The sequence below is a fragment of the Homo sapiens genome, chromosome 10 (genome assembly GCF_000001405.40).
Source record: "Homo sapiens chromosome 10, GRCh38.p14 Primary Assembly".
Lineage (NCBI taxonomy): Eukaryota > Metazoa > Chordata > Mammalia > Primates > Hominidae > Homo > Homo sapiens.
In genome coordinates, this window is record NC_000010.11 from 128,072,663 (window position 1) to 128,087,028 (window position 14,366).

General features: G+C 45.6%; 1 protein-coding gene across 22 annotated transcripts in view, besides 3 other annotated features; it reads left to right on the forward strand.

The window, feature by feature from the left end:
* Positions 1–13,193, forward strand: part of PTPRE (protein tyrosine phosphatase receptor type E) — a 178,753-nt gene extending 165,560 nt beyond the window's left edge. For 17 of the 22 annotated variants that reach the window (NM_001316676.2, NM_006504.6, XM_047425578.1 and 14 more), the window contains 5 exons: positions 675–809; positions 3,941–4,066; positions 4,955–5,121; positions 6,898–7,033; positions 10,170–13,193. In NM_001316676.2, the coding sequence (NP_001303605.1) occupies positions 675–809; positions 3,941–4,066; positions 4,955–5,121; positions 6,898–7,033; positions 10,170–10,244 (639 nt within the window). In that variant the 3' untranslated portion in view covers positions 10,245–13,193. The remainder of the gene's footprint in view (positions 1–674; positions 810–3,940; positions 4,067–4,954; positions 5,122–6,897; positions 7,034–10,169) is intronic. The other 5 variants (XM_017016467.2, NM_001316677.2, XM_011539995.2 and 2 more) reach the window with 4 other exon arrangements.
* Positions 5,231–5,732: an enhancer, noted in NCBI's record as "H3K4me1 hESC enhancer chr10:129876157-129876658 (GRCh37/hg19 assembly coordinates)". NCBI's record gives its function as "activates a minimal SCP1, AML or CMV promoter by ChIP-STARR-seq in primed H9 embryonic stem cells {active_cell/tissue: H9 hESC(primed)}" and the evidence as "EXISTENCE:reporter gene assay evidence [ECO:0000049][PMID:30033119]".
* Positions 5,733–6,232: an enhancer, noted in NCBI's record as "H3K4me1 hESC enhancer chr10:129876659-129877158 (GRCh37/hg19 assembly coordinates)". NCBI's record gives its function as "activates a minimal SCP1, AML or CMV promoter by ChIP-STARR-seq in primed H9 embryonic stem cells {active_cell/tissue: H9 hESC(primed)}" and the evidence as "EXISTENCE:reporter gene assay evidence [ECO:0000049][PMID:30033119]".
* Positions 5,883–6,177: a silencer, noted in NCBI's record as "tiled region #15565; HepG2 Repressive non-DNase unmatched - State 12:CtcfO". NCBI's record gives its function as "represses a minimal TATA promoter and a strong SV40 promoter by Sharpr-MPRA in HepG2 cells {active_cell/tissue: HepG2}" and the evidence as "EXISTENCE:reporter gene assay evidence [ECO:0000049][PMID:27701403]".

Consider the following 14,366-nt stretch of genomic DNA (forward strand, 5'->3'; position numbering starts at 1 on the left):
AAAAAAAAAAAAAAAAAAAAAGTGGACTTTGGAAATAGAAGGACATAGACTCGCTGCTAAGTAATTGGCTCTTTTTTCATTCTGCTTTTAATATATAGTTATTTTTCTTTTACATATCTGTTACACACCAATTATATATCCACTGCCTCTGTGCTCTTTCTCTTGTGTGATTTCTGCAATGTGTACCCACGTGGACAATACAATTATGTGTTCAGGGCACACAGAGGCTGTCTTCATGCACAGTGGAGTTCGCAGAAGAAGGGCAAAAGGGGGAATGGCAGCCAAGTGTGTGTTCATATTGCCATTTGCAGATGAGAAAATTGTACCAGAATCCGGTGGGCTCCATGCTGATCTAGCTGAAACACACAGAAACATGTTAGAATCTAAGCCACCAGGTGCTGTTCAGGTGGCCACAGGCAACTACCAGTTCATAATACCCATTTGTTGATGACCTCAGGGGCTGACGGTGGCCGTTATGGTTTCAGATAAGCGAGCTTCTTGACCTGCTTGTCAGGTGTGTGCCTGAGTGCTCGTGCCAACTGGGGTCTGGTGCAGACCATGGAGGATGAGAGAGTTTTCCTCATTAGGCCTTAGGCTGTCCTAAACTTAGGGAGCAGGTAATGGAGCCAGGATGGAAGGAAGTCAGACTCTAACCTCTGCGCCTCCATTTGAAGGGCTACCGACAGAAGGACTATTTCATCGCCACCCAGGGGCCACTGGCACACACGGTTGAGGACTTCTGGAGGATGATCTGGGAATGGAAATCCCACACTATCGTGATGCTGACGGAGGTGCAGGAGAGAGAGCAGGTGAGGAGTGCCGCCCAGCCCGGTCCCTCCAGGGCAGCCTGTGCACCTGAGGCACTGTCCCCGTTCATTACAAATGTCCCACCTGCCATCACTGCAAACACATGGGTGAGACCAAGCCAGGACCACTAGGGAAGGAGAGAGATTGGAAATGAAAAAGGTTTCATTTCACCCTTTCCCTTTTTGGGAGTGAGGTTTAACCATAGCTACCCGCTGCCCTTTATCCTTAGCCTACATGTTATTTAACCTGCCCTGAAATTCTGCCATTTGGTATTGGCCAAGATCATAACCTGTTGAAGAAAAAGACATTTATTGACTTTTTTCAAGACATGAAGACAACAGTAAACCCAAGGTTTACCAACAATGTACATCTATCTGGGTTCTCCCCCAAGACATAACTACTGCTGTGTATTTGTGTTTTTATTTCTTTGCTCTAAAAAGGAACAGCTTTATTGTGATATAATTCACCTATAATTCATGCAATTCATCTTTTTAAAGGGTACAATTCAGTGAATTGGAGTATATTCACAGAGTTGTGCAACCACCACCACTATCTAATCTGTGATCATTTTCATCAACCCAAAAGGAAACCTCGTACCATTAACAGTCACTCCCCATTCCTTCCTTCCCCTAACCCCTGGCAACCACTAATCTGCTTCCTGACTATGGGTTTGTCTATTCTGGACATTATTATAAATGGAATCATACAGTATGTGGTCTTCCGTGATTGGGTTCTTTCACTTAGCATCATGCTTTCAAGGTTCATCTATGTTGTAGCATGAATCAGTAAATCATTCTTTTTTACTGGCAAATAGTATTTGCTTGTGTGGATATACTACACTCTGCATATCCATTCATCAGTTGATGGACATTTAGGTTGTTTCCACTTTGGAGCTATTATAAATAGTGCTGCTTTGCTTGGTGCGGTTGCTCACACCTGTAATCCCAGCCCTTTGGGAGTCCAAGGCGGGCAGATCACCTGAGGTCAGGAGTTCGCGGCCAGCCTGGCCAACATGGCAAAACCCCGCTTCTACTAAAAATACAAAAATTAGCTGGGCATGGTGGCGGGAACCTGCAATCCCAGCTACTTGGGAGGCTGAGGCAGGGAGAATCGCTTGAACCTGGGAGGCAGAGGTTGCATTGAGCTGAGATCGCGCCATTGCACTCCAGCCTGGGGGACAGAACAAGACTCTGTCTCAAAAAAAAAAAAAAAGTTTCTTGAACATTCAGGTAGTAGTTTTTGTATGGACATGCTTTTTCACTTCCCTTGGGTATACGCCTAGGAGTGTATATACTAGGAGCGGAATTGCTAGGTCACGTCATAACTCTATGTCATAAACTTACTGTTTAACATTTTTGAGGACCTGCCAGACTGTTTTCCTCAGTAGCTGCCCCATTTTACATTCCTACCAGCAATATATAAGGTTCTAATTTCTCCACATCCTCACCAACATTGTCATTGTCTTTTTGATTAAAGCCATCCTAGTGGATATGTTCTTTGCTTTTTTAAAACATCTTTTAAAATCACATCTGTTTATGCCTACGTAGACTGTTGTTTAGTTTTACTTGTGTTTGAACTTTATAGAAAGAGCATCATTACAGCATGTTGTCTTCTGAGACTTGCTTCTTCCACTCAAAATTGTGCTTTTGATATTCTATGTTGATGCTTATGCTGTGGTTCATTCGTCATCATTATTTCATTATATTCCACTGCACAAACTATATCCTGCATTAGCTCAGGTATTCCTTCTCCTGTCATGGGCACTTGAGTTGGTTTCATTTCGTTGTTTTACAAACAGTGCTACCTGTACATTCTTTTTTTAAAACTTTAAGTTCTGGAGACAAGTGCAGAATGTATAGTTTTGTTACATAGGTATACATGTGCATGGTAGTTTGCTGCACCTGTCAACCCATCATCTAGGTTTTAAGCCCTGTATGCATTAGCTATTTGTCCTAATGCTCTCCCTCCCCTCACCCTCCACCCCCCAACTGGCCCCAGTGTGTGTTGTTCCCCTCCCTGTGTCCTTGTGTTCTCCCTACCTGTATATTCTTGTACATGTCTTATGCTGCACTAGGACTAAGATGTATCAAAGAGCCAAAATGCTTCATTGAAGAGTATGTGAAAGTTTGAATTTGCAAGATAATTCCTAATTGCTTTCCAAAGTGGACATCAACAATGTATAAGAGATATCATTCATCTACATACCTAGTATGGTATTCTCAAGGTGTCCTAATTATTGTTAATTGAAAATTAACAAAATATTGTTCATTGTATAATTATTGTATAAATACTATCTTTTTGTGGCTCTGATTTGCATCATTCTGATTCCAAGGTCAACCCCATCACTTCATATATTTGTGGATGACATATTTCCTCTTGTGTCAAATGCCTGTTCCTGCCTTTCACTGATTTTTCTATTGTTTGTCCTTTCTTATTGATTTATAGGAGCTCTTTACGTAATCTTGATACTAATTCTTTATTGGTTTTATGTATTGCAAACATCTTATTGCAATCTGTGGCGTGTCTTTTCACTCTGTTAATGATGTTTGTTGATGAAGAGAAGTGAATGTTACTGTAATCCAATGTTTCAAATTGTTGCATCGTGATTGGTTAGCTGTTTGGGCTCTTGTCTAGTAATCCTTGTGTACCTCAAAGTGAAAAGATATTTCTTCTTCCAAGAGTTTCACAGTTTTGTTTTTTACCTTAAACCTTACTCCATCTGGGTGTATTTTTATTAAGGTTCAAGGCCATGACACGTGGAAGTGCAGGGTGTACACTGCCCAGTTCTAGGAAGAGCTGGGGGCACTCACATCAACCCTGGTAGGGAATGAGTCAGGGATCCAATTTCATTTTCCCCAGGTAGAAAACCAATTTTTCCAGCCCCACATATTGAAGAATCTCTCCTTTCTGCCATATGTTAAGGTTTCATATATATATGTGTCTGTTTCTAGACTCTGTTCTGTTCCCTGGGTCAACAAGCATTAACAGGCATTTATATTCATATTCATATGTTTTTTTTTTTGGTCAGATGAAATACATTAACTGGTTTGAGAACAATTCTGTGTTATAAACTCAAAATCGCCAGCAGCAAATTATTTATTACAAGACTTAAATTTTTATTTTATCCCCTAAGGATAAATGCTACCAGTATTGGCCAACCGAGGGCTCAGTTACTCATGGAGAAATAACGATTGAGATAAAGAATGATACCCTTTCAGAAGCCATCAGTATACGAGACTTTCTGGTCACTCTCAATCAGGTATTGTTGAAGTAGCTCTTTAAACGCTTGTGAATTTAGTGAACCACGCCCTCCCTCTGGGTTCTGCTTGTCATTGAACCAGAATGTGGCCCTGCACCTGTCCTGCTCCTTCACCTAGTCCCATTGGCTATGAATGGCCAATGGGTTTCAGAGACAGTGGCAGGCCTCCTGTACAATTCCCATCTCCCTAGCTGCCTACCTCCCATTTATCTCTCAGGAGAATTACATTAGCCATTAGCTGTAAGAGGAAGAACAAAGGGGACTAATGAAGCCACAGGGGCCTCTCTGGGGCCCTCCTCCAGGTGCCTTCTCAGAGCCCCCCAACTGTCCCCATTTCCACTGGGTCCTTGGTTCTGCTCATCCTCTCTCCTTGGCAAAGAATGAGAACTCGGGGTCAGCTGTAGGTAGGATGACTCACTTGTACACAGGTCTTGATGCTGAGCTCCAAACAGTCAGTATCACGTAATGCACCTGCCACTGTCTCCTCCATGCCAGCCACAGAGCCACCCTGGCCACCAGACTCAGATGCTGCTCATTTGAGCTCTGAAGGGAAATGCAGGGCCCTGGTTTCTTGAGAAAGTGATTCCCTTCTCTCCAGCAGAGCTGCCAAGGATCCCGTAGGGGTTGGGCAGTCCTCACAGGGATCCAGGGGATGTCCTCTGGACGGCTCGCTCCCCCTTGCAGAAGGAAGCACAGCCAGCCACCTGCCTTCTTCTTTAGGACAAGCAGGTTTCAGCCTTCTCCTTCAGGCTGCCTCGGTGGGGATGTTGGCAGCACAGAAGGCTCAGGGAGGGCTCCCAGCCTTGGCCAATCCCTGAGAGGGCAGATGGGGCTGGGGCCTGTTCCCCGGCAGGCAGGCGACGCTGAGACCCCCTCTCCTCCCTGCAGCCCCAGGCCCGCCAGGAGGAGCAGGTCCGAGTAGTGCGCCAGTTTCACTTCCACGGCTGGCCTGAGATCGGGATTCCCGCCGAGGGCAAAGGCATGATTGACCTCATCGCAGCCGTGCAGAAGCAGCAGCAGCAGACAGGCAACCACCCCATCACCGTGCACTGCAGGTGAGCCCCCAGCCCGAAGCCCTCCAGGTGGGGTGGACACAGGCTGCACCCCCCCAGTACCCGCAGCTGTGGGCAGCAGAGCCTGGTCGCTGCCCCTGGCCATGGTATTCCCTAGAGTCTCCTCTCTACCTCTCCTTACACACATGCACACACGACTTCACTTAAGTACATACATGTCATCGTATCATACATAAGATGCATGTGTGTCATCTTAACATAAATGCAGAATGCACTTCAGAGGGTGGAGTTGGGAAACCACTCAAACACACATTTCCATGTGCTTTTGAAGTCATCAAAAAATTGCCAGGCAGGGCTCGGAGGAACACACTCCTGGACTTCAAGTTCCTGGGTGGGTTTTGAGAGACTGCCTTACTGGGCTGCATTGGCCTACACCCGCCCTCTCCCATGGGCTGGGATTCCTGGCCATATGAGGAGTCCCAACTGGGATTGTAGCCACGCTGGTCCTGCAGCCTCAGCCTGGCTCCCAAGTCAGGCCCAAAGGCAGAGGGACACCCTGGGCAGGTGGGACATGCTTAGTCCGCAGGTGAAGGCGTGAAACACAGCACGCCCAGGGGCAGATACGCAAATCTGGTCAAGCCCACTGGCCACCCACTTGCCTGCCTTCTGTGCCTCTGTAGTTCTGATCCTGCTGCACACTTCTGCTGGCAGGGACCTCGACACCCGGCAAGGTTCTTCCAAGCAGGAGCTTGGGGTGTTTCTATCCTTGGGTGGTGCTAATGTGCTCCTGAAACTGCAGTTCCATGGCTTGTCTCACACTGGTGGCGCCCACTCTTTGTGACTGCCTTTCACCCCCACCCACTGTCCCACCCCTTATAGCTGGCAGAGCTCTCTCCCTGCCTGGACCCCACCGGGGTGCACTCCTGGCCTGGCCAGTAGGTGGAGCACACACCTCGGTTTTTGGTTTTCCTGGTGCCTTCCAAGAAATCATTTAGGATAAACTTGAAATGAGTTCCATAGGGCACTGGAGATGCAGAGGTGAACAAGATCCCACCTGTGAGAACGCAGATGCGGGGCCGATCATTGCGGCAGGACAGGAGCCTTGGAATAAGCCCACATGTGAGATTATGGAGCACAGAGGGCAGCCAGGCATCTCCAGAAGACCTGCTGGAAGAGGCCGGTCCACCCCACCTCCTCCAGCCCAGTACACCTGGGCTCTCCTACGAGGGCCTGGGCTCTGCTCTTGTGGGGTTTATCAGCAAATGACCATGGTAAATGGAGATGACTCAAATCGGCCTTGCTGGGAAGTGTCAGTTGACTGTTCCTGGTTGTGAATGTCCTTAAACTGCCCCTCCCTTTCAGCATCACCTGTTTCAGAAGACACCCCTGGCACAGTAAGGAGAGGGTATGCCAAGATTACCTCCTTCCTAGACCTGAACTGGGAGGGTTTGCATTTCTGGCAAGTTCCCAGGTGCCAACTGTGCTGCTGGTCCAGGGACCACACTTTGAGAACCATTGCCCTACACAAGGAAGAGGGGAAATGGTGATACTTGCTTAAAAACTTGTCACTGGTCCTGTCTCATTTTATAAAATATCGGTCTCCTGTAATTAGGGAGGTGTTTTAGGAATTTTACATTTGCTAAATCTTGCTCAGAAGTTACACTACATACAAATGATCAAAAAAAAATTCAGTCAAACTCAGATCATTTTCAGCGATTGTTGCTTCAGTGCTGATATGCAGGGGTTGGCTGTCAGCTCTCCATTTCTCATCCCCAAGTGCAAGTCGGATGATCTGCATTAAGCGCTTTTTCTCTGCAGTGCCGGAGCTGGGCGAACAGGTACATTCATAGCCCTCAGCAACATTTTGGAGCGAGTAAAAGCCGAGGGACTTTTAGATGTATTTCAAGCTGTGAAGAGTTTACGACTTCAGAGACCACATATGGTGCAAACCCTGGTAAGAATCTGAATAAGGATGTTACCAGAAGAGTGGAGAATTATTTCATGTTGTATTTGATGTATGTTTCATTAAAGGACCTTAAGTACATGGGGGAGGTGGGAAGGTAAAATTCCCAAGGAAAAGAGCCAGCTGCAATGTTTCGCAGTAAACCTCTGCAGAGCCCTCCTTCCTTGGGTCTGTGACGTGGGTGTCTTCTGGGCAAGACCCGGGAGGAGGGGCCTGTCCGCCAGTTTCAATGTCTGAGACCACTCGGAGAGACGCACTGAGGATAGGAGCTTTTGTGTCAAAGTGAACTATTCTACGAGAGTCCTGTGTGCACTGAAAAACATACTCTTATCAAGTTCAAAAGCAGCACTGAAATTTAAAATCCTGGTCCTTCTCATTTCAATGTTATACTCGTCCATGTGGCTTGTTTTCCCTGGCGGGGTCTCACTCAGCCTCAAGATACCGTCCACGGGCTGCAGGAATCCCTAATGTATTAGTAGTTTTCCCCGTACATTCTTTCATTTCAAGGACTCCTGCTTTCTGGTTTTCAGAAGCGATTCCTCCTCACCAAATACTATGGCTCGTGCTGCTAACCCAGCGAGTACAATTTTAAAGCCTGTTACAATGCATCCTTTTTACCAAAGCTTCCCACTTCGCACCTGTCCTCCCTGCCTGCTCACTCTCCACGCTGACAATCCTGGCTCACGCAGCGCCCTGTGCATAGAGAGGCAGGAAGGAGGCCCTTCTACGTCCCCCTCACAGCAAGGCGCAGCAGGAGCGAGGACACCTGAGCTGAGGGCGGGTCTGTCCATCCACACCCAACGACCTACAGCAAAGACCATCTCTCTAAGCAGTAGCATACAGAGCTTCCCCTAGTCTTTTTAGGGACTCACAGCTCTCATTAATCTGCCTGGTCTGGCCAATATATTCTATCTTCGAGAGCATCTGTCATCCAGGTGTCCTCCCGTCTCAGCTGTGCTCTTCCTGACCGCAGCTTGCCCCTCCATGCTCCCTGACTGAGAAGCTGCCCTCAGATGTTGTGTGGCTGTCATCTGTGCTCTCTTGCCTGGTAACAGCTTGACAGAGCACTTTGTAGCCTGACTTTTAGAGTAAAGGGTCTAGTCCAATGCCTGGCCCGTGGCGAGGGCTCCAGAGCAAGTGGTGAATCAGCAAACGAATGAGGGAGAAGAGTCACTAAATAACCATCAGGCGTTGGGCGCAGTGCAACCAGGTGCCTTACAGATGTCTTTCTCATTTCATCTTCACCATCTGCTTGCCCTTGTGCCTGCTTCTGTTCACAAGGAGTGTTCTGCAGGTGCCTCCAGTTAGGACGGTTGAGGGGCCTGCCTGAGATCTTCAGGTATTAAGTGTCAGAATGAGATTCAAACTCTATCTGATTCCAGAAGGGAAAGGCTTAACTAGTACTGTATGCTGCCAGATCTAACATTTGGCAGGGAGATTTTGGCAAAAAAAAAACACAGGCACAAAAATATTATTGAGTAAAGAGATGATTGCTGACCTGCAGGTTGATTTAGCCCTGCAGGTGAGCACAGTGGCCCAAGAACCAGTTTCCAATTGCTGAGCACTCAGGGAAGACTTGCTTCCAGCATCCTAGGTAGGCTTTGGTTGGAACTGACATTTCAAAGGCCACAAGTACATCTGTTCTCCTGGAGTCTGTGGATTGACCAGAAATGTCTGTCTGTGACCTGAGGTGTGGCTTGTATCATCCGAGCACACTCCAAAGTACACTTCATCCATCACTGGCCCCAATCACTTGTACTCGAGACTACGTGGGATGGTCAGCAGTTAGCTGCTGTGTTAGCTATGAAAACAGAGTAATTAGTGATCGTCTCCATTTCCATCCCAGACTGAGCCAGCTTTGATATTCAGTCAATGTTGCTTTAAGTTGGAAAAGTCAATGTTGCTTTAAGCTGTTTGCCTCTTTAAAGAGAGCCTGTATATTTATTGAGAATTCCTTCTAAGAATTCAATTCCCTTTCCTTCTGAAGGCTGGGTGATCAGCTGCGTGTCTTAGTAGCCAGAAGTGAGGACCCTACAATGTGGTCTTGGCTCTTCCAACAACTTCATGCAAATTCAGAAGCAAAGTTTCAGGCTCACCTTTTCCTTCTCTGGAAAACTCAGCTCCTTCCCATCCTGGCCAGACCGGGACTCAGGAAGGGCTAAGCTAGCTGTTTGGCATCTTTCCACCCAAAAGCATTTAGATATTTGTTCACTGTGTGCTGAGAAGAGCCCAAGTGCAATGTGTTGGAAAGAAGCAGGGAGGTGCTGAGGACAGCTCTTGGCCTCTCCGGCTTTCCAAGCCCCTGTCCCGGCCCCAAACTCACATATCCCACCCAGGGGTCTGGGAGGACCAGCCTATATATAAAACAATGTCCCTTTTGTACAGTAAATGTAGGCTTTAAAATAATCTAGATATGCATTTTATTTAACTTTTATAGATCGCTTTATGAAATTTATCTGGCAATGTTAGTACTCTGATTTTTTTCTCTTTCTTTTTTTTTTTTTTTTTTTTTTTTTTTTGAGACAGGGTCTCACTCTGTCACCTAGGCTGGAGTGCAGTGGTGCAGTGGCACAATCTTGGCTCACTGCAATCTGCCTCCTGGGCTCAAGGAATCCTCCTGTCTCCGCTTCCCAAGTAGCTGGGACTATGGGTGTGCACCACTATGCCCAGCTAATTTTTGTATCTTTTTTGATAGAGATGGGGTTTCACCATGTTGCCCAGGCTGGTCTGGAACTCCTGGGCTCAAGTGATCCTCCTGCCTCAGCCTCTCAAAGTGCTCTTATTACAGACGTTGAGCCATTGCACCTGGCCTGGTTTTTTGTTTTTTTTTTTAAATTCAAAAATAGTTGTTTTCCAGTTTCAATGTGAAAGCCACAGACATTTAACTCAGCCCATTAAATACACTAAGTTGAAATGTTAATACACTAACTGACACATTCTACGTAGAAAAACAGCTTTATTTGGAATTCTGCATGTGCCTAAAAACTAAATTACGATGTGCATAAAGGTATATGGTATTTTAATGAATAGTCACACTTATTTATGTCTTGTTTTTGAGTATTTCTCCTGATTAATCAAATATATTTTTGGGAATATCATTTTAATGTGTCCTTGTTTGTCTTTTCAGGAACAGTATGAATTCTGCTACAAAGTGGTACAAGATTTTATTGATATATTTTCTGATTATGCTAATTTCAAATGAAGATTCCTGCCTTAAAATATTTTTTAATTTAATGGTCAGTATATTTTGTAAAAATCATGTTAATTTATTTCATAGTTGACATTAATATCTTCCCTAATTTCTTTGTATATATTTTGTTATGCCTTAAAGGCCACCTGCTATACAGTTGTTAAATCTTAAATATGCTTTTTAAAAATTGGAATAATGTATTAAGGTCAAATAATATCCCATAAAATATATATTTCTGCTAATATTAGTAAATATCTTAATTTTTCATTAGATTCATATCATTTAATTTCACATATTCAACACCTTTAAATGTTGTAATCTTAATATGCGAAGTGTGCCTCTGCAAGATACTAACACAAAGCTCATGTTAAGAAAACAGTTGAGGACTCAGAAGTCAGTTCGAAAATGCACTTTCCTAACAGTGAATTCACAACCCTGAACAGCAGCATTTTTGGAAGGCAAACTGTTCGTGATGGTACAATGTAAATGGGGACTTCTGTAAAGTTCTCAGTTTCGGTCCATGTGGTTTATCTTTACATTTTAAAGATCAAAGAAGTCTTTACAACCTGAATCCAGGTCTAAAACACACTAGAGTAGCTGGTGACTATAAATAATATTTTAAAATGCTGTGTCTACACCATCAAGACTGTGTCTACACTATCTTGGCTGAACGAGAAGAGATGTAAATGCTGGGTGGTCCCGTTGACCCACGGCGTTGGGTACAACAAAACCAGCCATCGGAGTTACACCCCAAAGCACCATTTGCTGTCCAGCTGCCTGTCGTTTGGCCCAGACCACCCTCAGAAAAAAACCAGCTGCCTCTCCCATTCTCCCCTCCCGTTCTGCCACAGCGGCCTGGGCTGGTCCAGTGCTATGCCTGGAGGCTCAACACAAAACTTCCCATCCAAACATTCAGATGAACTGAGCGTCTTACACACGCAGTACAGAGGAGCACACATTAGGATAGAAACAGTAGAATAACCACGGGCAATTAAACTTTAAATTTTCTGAGCAGCATTTTGGTATTTAAACATTTCTTGTAAAAAGCTGAGACAGTTTGTAAGAAAAGAATCCTTAAAATCTAGATTTATACCATTTTTTAAAGTCCCACCTTTCAATGTTTAATAAAACAAAAAGAGAAATCCTTAATCTAAAAGCTAAATTATTTTTGAATGGAAATACTACTGAGACCATTGACACTGGATAACAGTAATGATCCCATTACCAGATAAGATTGACTGACGGGGAAAAAAAAAAAAAAAGAATGGGGTGTGAATGTACCAACACTGAATCTTACAGCAGTTATCTTTCTATGGCCATTAGGTACCTAGCAGATGTGCACAATATAAACAAAAAGATATCTGGCCTACCTTACTACTAAAAGCATTTAACACGTGCATTTTTGGTACTTTTTTTTTTGTTTTCTAAAAGCTACATAAAGGCCTTATTTGACATTTTCACTGATAACTGATCGCACCCTCATGTTGCAGTGTTCGTCCCCTATTCATTAACAGTGTGTGCAAATGCAACCCCAGGACACATTATTGTTCTGATAGATGCTCACAGGGAATCAAGCTTCTCGCCCACTCCACGGCTCTGAGCCCCATCCAAGGGCAAGACTTGGTGCCCAGCTGGAAGGACGAAAGCACACTTTGTGACCGCCATCCTCACCAGCTGCATGCCTGGGCTGCACACTGCTGAACGTGCTCCTCTCTCCTTCTCTGTACAATGATTCAGCATCTCGGCGGAAGAGGAAAATGGAGCTTTTTGAGGCTCGCCAGGTCCCTTTTGTTTTCACCATTAAAATTCCAAACCCAAAGCCTTTGTTTGACTGAAGGAGAAGAGAGGGAAGTAAGCTTCTGTTCAGCACCTGAACCCTAGAAAAAGAGCCAGTTTGCTACGATGAAGGTGACATTTCTCTGGTCATTTATTTGAGAGTTCGAAGTCAAAGTCGAGGGGCACCGGCTTTGGTTCATGTCTAGGAGCCCTCTGTCAGAATCCTTGAAGCCCTTTAATGGTCTAACTGGCATCTCTTGTATCAAGAAGTACCTTTAAGGTAGACCTTTTCAGGGTGCCCTCAGGAAAGGGCCCTGCTCATGTTTTTTTCCTGTCCCCTTAGACCAACCCCAGGTGTCCACTGCAGGGGTTCTGCCTGTTCCCAAACTTTTTCCATTCCAGGAACAAAGGAGAAGCCACTTTCCCCAGGACGCAAGACTCTCCCCTCCACTGTCCGGGACAGCGTTCGCCCTTTAGCGGGGAGGTCATTACAGCCTCATGGCCTCTACCAAGGCCCCAGATCACAGGATCTCCTGGGCCTTGGAGCACCTCACGCTGGGGGAATCAATCCCTGAGGGACTCAGAATCTTCTCCGTGCAACCTGGAAAGTTCATCTCTTGTTTCCTTCAGTCAAAGAAAGTCCATTGTACATAACAAAACAGCCCCCAAACAGCCCAGTGCCGACACCATTGTTCCTTTCACACTTTCCTTTGTTGCATGCAGTTGGGTTCAAATGCCAAATAGTGATTAGAAGACGACCATTCTGATCTGTGTGTGATCTGGTCACTATGTGACTGCCTTTACGGTTTCTCTCCATGTGCTATATGAATGAAGAATGCATACCAGTGTTTTAAAAGGTATTTTTATGTGTTTTTAAACACTTTTTTAAATGAGCCTGACACCTGTGTTTCAGCATTTGGAGACATCCCCATGTTATTCTTTTAAGTGTATAATTACTGATACTTTTTTGTTTGTTTGTTTAACTAAGTTGTGTTTAACTTATGTGCAGTCTTTATAATGTATGTATGTTATTACAGTTTCAACTATCATATTTTCTTTGATTACATTTATAATTTGATCTTGCTCTGATTATAATGCCAGTGAATGTTGCTGAACTCTTTGTATATGCAAATTGCAAGATTTAAACCATTCTGATGCAAGGATAAACCTTTACTTTGACTACCAGCCTGTGTTTTTGTCTTTAAATCTCTTAATTTCATTCCTCTGCAAAAAAAAAAAAAAAAAAAAAAATCGCCTGCTGTGAGATGGTGTTTGCTGTTGTGGGCCCTTTTGTTACCAGTTTCTCTCTATGGGTCTGTGGGTCCCAATGTTCCATCCTAGACAAGCAGCATCCACTCTGCTGTGGATGTGGTCTTGGCCCTTCCCCTGGGGTAAGCAGACCTGGATACATGAAGGTGCAGGCACAGCTGGACACAGTGGGGAGGGGCAGAGGGATCCAAGGAAAAGGAGGTATGGAAGAGGCATAAAGGAAGTCACCAACTGGGCCTCCACCAGGGGCCAATGAACCCAAATAGCCCTGCCTGAGCCCAACGCCTCTGAAGGAGCTGAGGTCTGCAAAAGTACGCTTGCCAGACCAGCCTCAAAGGCAGCTACTATCAACAGAAATACACAGATAGGACGCTGAGTGCTGAGGGACCTCAGGAGAGACAGACAGGTAGCCAGGGGCACCGATTAGTGTGTGTGTCTGAGCAAGCCACTCAGAGGAGCATTACTGAGACCACACTGGGAACTCTACTCTGCAGAGATGTGCGAGGGGCCTCCCCACATCTTCTGCATGAAGGAGCAGGATGCTGCAGCACTGACCCACAGCTCTCGCCCACCAGGTGGAAAGTTTGTTCCAGGGCTGTCAGCTCCCTGGCACATGCATGTCCCACGTGTGGGCCTACTGTTGCCAAAATCAGAGGAACACCCAGGGACAGTGGCGCACAACATCAAGGCATCTGCTGTGGTCACCAAGCTCCCAAGCTTGGCCTCTAACAGCTTGCATATTGGGCGTGGCAGCTGTGTGTCAGTCGGGAGCAATGTTCATCCCTGGGGGCCCTCAGGCCATCTGCTGGTTTGCTGGGAGGGCAGCTTCAGGGCCCAAGACAGCCATGCCCCAGCCAGGGCTCACATTGCCACTTCCACATTCAGTGCCCACAGCTGGTCTCCCACTTGGCCCAGGGTCTAACAGAGCCAACTGCCCCTCGTCTCAAAGGACGGGGCAATACCAGCAATATAGGGAGACATGTTTGTTACAAACATTCAAACCAAACAGAAACACACCAAGAGCATTTAGCCCTTTTCCTAATTCCTCTCCCCATCTCAATCCATTGGTAACTTTGGAGTACATCTCCA